The sequence below is a fragment of the Homo sapiens genome, chromosome 5 (assembly GCF_000001405.40).
Source record: "Homo sapiens chromosome 5, GRCh38.p14 Primary Assembly".
Taxonomy (NCBI): Eukaryota; Metazoa; Chordata; class Mammalia; order Primates; family Hominidae; genus Homo; species Homo sapiens.
In genome coordinates, this window is record NC_000005.10 from 17,352,350 (window position 1) to 17,356,544 (window position 4,195).

General features: G+C 41.8%; 1 pseudogene; it reads right to left on the minus strand.

Annotated features, from left to right (window-relative positions):
- FTH1P10 (ferritin heavy chain 1 pseudogene 10) lies at positions 1,364–2,282 on the minus strand (annotated as a pseudogene).

Consider the following 4,195-nt stretch of genomic DNA (forward strand, 5'->3'; position numbering starts at 1 on the left):
GCAACGGGAAAATCTTACCCATTTCAGCAAATTTTATCAATAAAGCAGTCTAACCAGAGACTAATGTTCACATAATTAAATGTCTGCTGTACTTTTCCTCTGTTCCTTAACCATGGTAATTTTCAGATTGTTAATTAGCCGAGTGCCAATTGATTGAATGGCTCCACAGGAGTGGAAACTAAGAAAGCATAATAATAGAATGATCCTAAGCATCACAGGTGACAGCCCCAAATCACCCTCTTGCTTTGGTTTCCAAGTTAACCACAGCAAATCTTTATCCTTTCCAGGAAGAGGCATACAGTTTCCACGCTGAACACCTGGAATCCATTTAGACTGGCCAGTGTCCACTACCTAAAAAGCCTTGAGTGCTAAGGAAGCAGTGTTTGGAAGGAGAACAGAGTGTATCCAGTCATGCCAACTGCAGTCTAAGAATGATCAGTGAAGTGGCTCCCTGAAGGGGCAAAGTGAAATAAATGCATGCCAGCCGGGCACGGTGGCTCACACCTGTAATCCCAGCACTTTGGGAGGCCGAGGTGGAAGGATCACTTTCGCCCAGGAGTTTGAGGCCGGCCTAGGCAATATAGTGAGACTCCATCTCTACCAAAAAACAAAACAAAACAAAACAAAACAAAACAAACAAACAAAAACCCCCAAAATTAGCTGGTTGTGGTGGTGCATGACTGTAGTCCCTGCTACTCAGGAGGCTGAGGCAGGAGGATGGCATGAGCCTGGAAGGTTGACGCTGCAGTGAGCCGAGATTGAGCCACTGCACTCCAGCCTGGGTGACAGAGTGAGACTCTGTCACACGCAAACACAAAATACATGCCATTCCTTTCAGGTTAAAACTTAAGGTGACCTCAGGTTCAAATGATAATAGTGGTTACACTGAATATGTGGTCACATATTTGTTAGAAAACATAAACTTTTAAGTATAACCCCCTCTATAAGATCATATATCCAATTCATTCATAACAGAGTTGCTCAATATGTCCACTTTCTTGCATTCATAAAATGCAATATGTACATTTTTCTGATCTTGTCTGCATTTGTGATTTTAAAAAAATCCTTCAGAAAAGATGATATCATGATCTTCTATGGCTATAAATGGCATGAATATAGAATCATCTTCATTTTCTTTTGGGGGAAGTTTTCTTTGAAACACAACCCAAGTCTTTCTAGGTTCTGTGTCATGCATAGATATCTAATTTGGCATGAAGGATTCTGTGAAATGATTGTTTTGGCTTGCCACTCAATAATAATGTAACCTCCTTATTCCGAGGGATGTAGTTCACTACAATGGGAAGGGGTATATATAGGTATTGGAGAGAGACTCCTATCTCTTCACTTTTTTTTTTTTTTTTTTGGTACCCAATTTCTTTATGTGAAGGAATGGTACAAATCAAAGAACTTAAGTGGATGTTTTGGTACAACTTATAGAAAAGGTAAAGGAAACCCCAACATGCATGCACTGCCTTGGTGACCAGGGAAGTCACCCCACGGCTATGGGGAAATTAGCCTGAGGCTTAGCTTTCATTATCACTGTCTCCCAGGGTGTGCTGGTCAAAGAGATATTCCGCCAAGCTAGATTCGGGTGCTCCCATCTTGCACAAGTTGGTCATGTGGTCACCCAATTCTTTGATGGCTTTGACCTGCTCATTCAGGTAATGTGTCTCAATGAAGTCACACAAATGGGGGTCATTTTTGTCAGTGGCCAGTTTGTGCAGTTCCAGTAGTGACTGATTCACATTTTTTTCCAAATGTAATGCACACTCCATCGCATTCAGCCCGCTCTCCCAGTCATCACAGTCCGGTTTCTTGATATCCTGAAGGAAGATTCGGCCACCTCCTTGGTTCTGCAGCTTCATCAGTTTCTCAGCATGTTCCCTCTCCTCATGAGATTGGTGAAGAAAGTATTTGGCAAAGTTCTTCAAAGCCACATCATCGCGGTCAAAGTAGTAAGACATGGACAGGTAAACGCAGGAGGCGTAGAGCTCCAGGTTGATCTGGCGGTTGATGGCGGCCTTTAGTCCTGGTGGTAGTCCTGGCGCACCTGTGAGGTGGACGCGGTCGTCATGGCGGCGACTAAGGAGAGGCGGCTGCGTTCGCGGTGGTGACTGCGCAGTGCTGGAGCGGCGGCGGGGGCCTTGGGGCAGTCCGAGGGCGCGGTGAGGAGGTGACGGAGGGCTGGCTATGGGCAGCCGGCCGGTGTGGGGGACGAGCGCCAGGTTCTGTCCAAGCACTGTTGAAGCAGGAAACCCCGACGACTCTCGTGGAAGAACGTCCATCTCTCTACTTTTAAGCTAAGTTGAAGCAGTCTGTTATCCTCACTGATACTCACTTCCATCACCACTATTTTCCCCACTGTGAAATGACTAAAATACCATCCACCACTCCTGCTCTGAGAATTAAAAGATAACCTACACAGAGCCTGGCACATAGGAAGCATTCAGTGAACTTTTTTTCCTTTTCCTTCTCTTGTCCTTAAAAATATACAACATGAAATTAAATAGGATGTAGTCACACTATTGAAATAAATTTTCTTGTAGCAAATCTTATATGTCTTATTTATTTATTTATTTATTATTTATTTTGAGATGGAGTTTTGCTCTTGTTGCCCAGGCTGGAGTGCAATGGCACAATCTTGGCTCACTGCAACCTCCACCTCTTGGATTCAAGCGATTCTCCTGCCTCAGCCTCCCGAATGGCTGGGATTACAGGCACGCTCCATGACGCCCGGCTAATTTTTGTATTTTTAGTAGAGATGGGGTTTCACCATATTGGTTAGGCTGGTCAGGAACTTTTGATCTCAGGTGATCTACCTGCCTCGGCCTCCCGAAGTGCTGGGATTACAGGCGTGAGCCACCGCGCCTGGCCATCTGTTTTATTTTTATAAAAAGAAACATAAAGGTAAGTGAAATGTAAGTGTAATAAATAAATGTAAGTGAAAAGAGTGACTAAAAACACAAATGCCAAAAGCAATTCCATAGAAAGACTTTAATTTTCTATCACTTTATCCATAAAGGTACCAAATATATATTTCAAAAGATTACTCTCCTTTTGATAAAATAACTGCAAACCATTGTTTCATGTAAAAATATTAACACATTTCTTGGTATCATCCAATAACTATTCAGTGTCATTATGTTTTACAATTTATTTTTATAATCAGATTCCAAATAAAAGATACATATATTTTGAAAAAATAAACTTAAGATGATCTCATACCATTGAAATAAATTATTTAGTTACTGGTAAAACAAGCTCATATGGTTTGGCTGTGTCCCCACTCAAATCTCACCTTGAATTGTAATAATCCCCACATGTCAAGGGCGAGGCCAGGTGGAGATAATTGAATCATGGGGGCAGGTTTTTCCTGTGCCGTTCTGGTGACAGTGAATAAGTCTCAAGAGAACTGATGGTTTTATGAAAGGGAGTTCCCCAACAAGCTCTCTTGCCCACTTCCATGTAAGACACATCTTTGCTTCCCCTTTGCCTTCCATCATGATTGTGAGGCCTCTCCAGCCATGTGGAACTGTGAGTCCATTAAACCTCTTTCCTTTATAAATTACCGAGTCTAGGTTATGTCTTTATTAGTAGAGTGAGAACAGACTAACACACAGGTATATAAAAGATTTTTTTGTTACAATAAGTTGTATCTCTTGTCTAAAATATTTATAAGCAAACCAAAAAAAAAAAAAAAAGCTTGCCTTAGTCAATGAGTCAATGTTCCCAGAGAAACAGTACACACACTGTATTAGTCCATTTTCATGCTGCTGTATAAGATCTCATGAGACTGACTCACTATCATGAGAACAGCACAGGAAAGACCTGCCCCCATGACTCAATCACCTCCCAATGGCTCCCTCACACAACACATGGGAATTCAAGATGAGATTTGAGTGGGGACATAGCCAAACCATATCACACATGCATACATATGCACACACATATACATATATACATGTGTACATACATTTATCTATTGATTGATTGACTGGAATTGGCTTACATGATTCTGGAGAGTGACAACTCCAAAATTGGTAGGGCAGACTGGTAGGAAATTTAGCTAAGAGAAACTTCTGTCTTTGCTTTTAAGGCCTCCAACTGATTGGATGAGGCCCATCACATCATGAAAGGTATTGTGTTTTACTAAAAGTCTACTGATTTCCATGTTAACCACATCCATAAATACCTT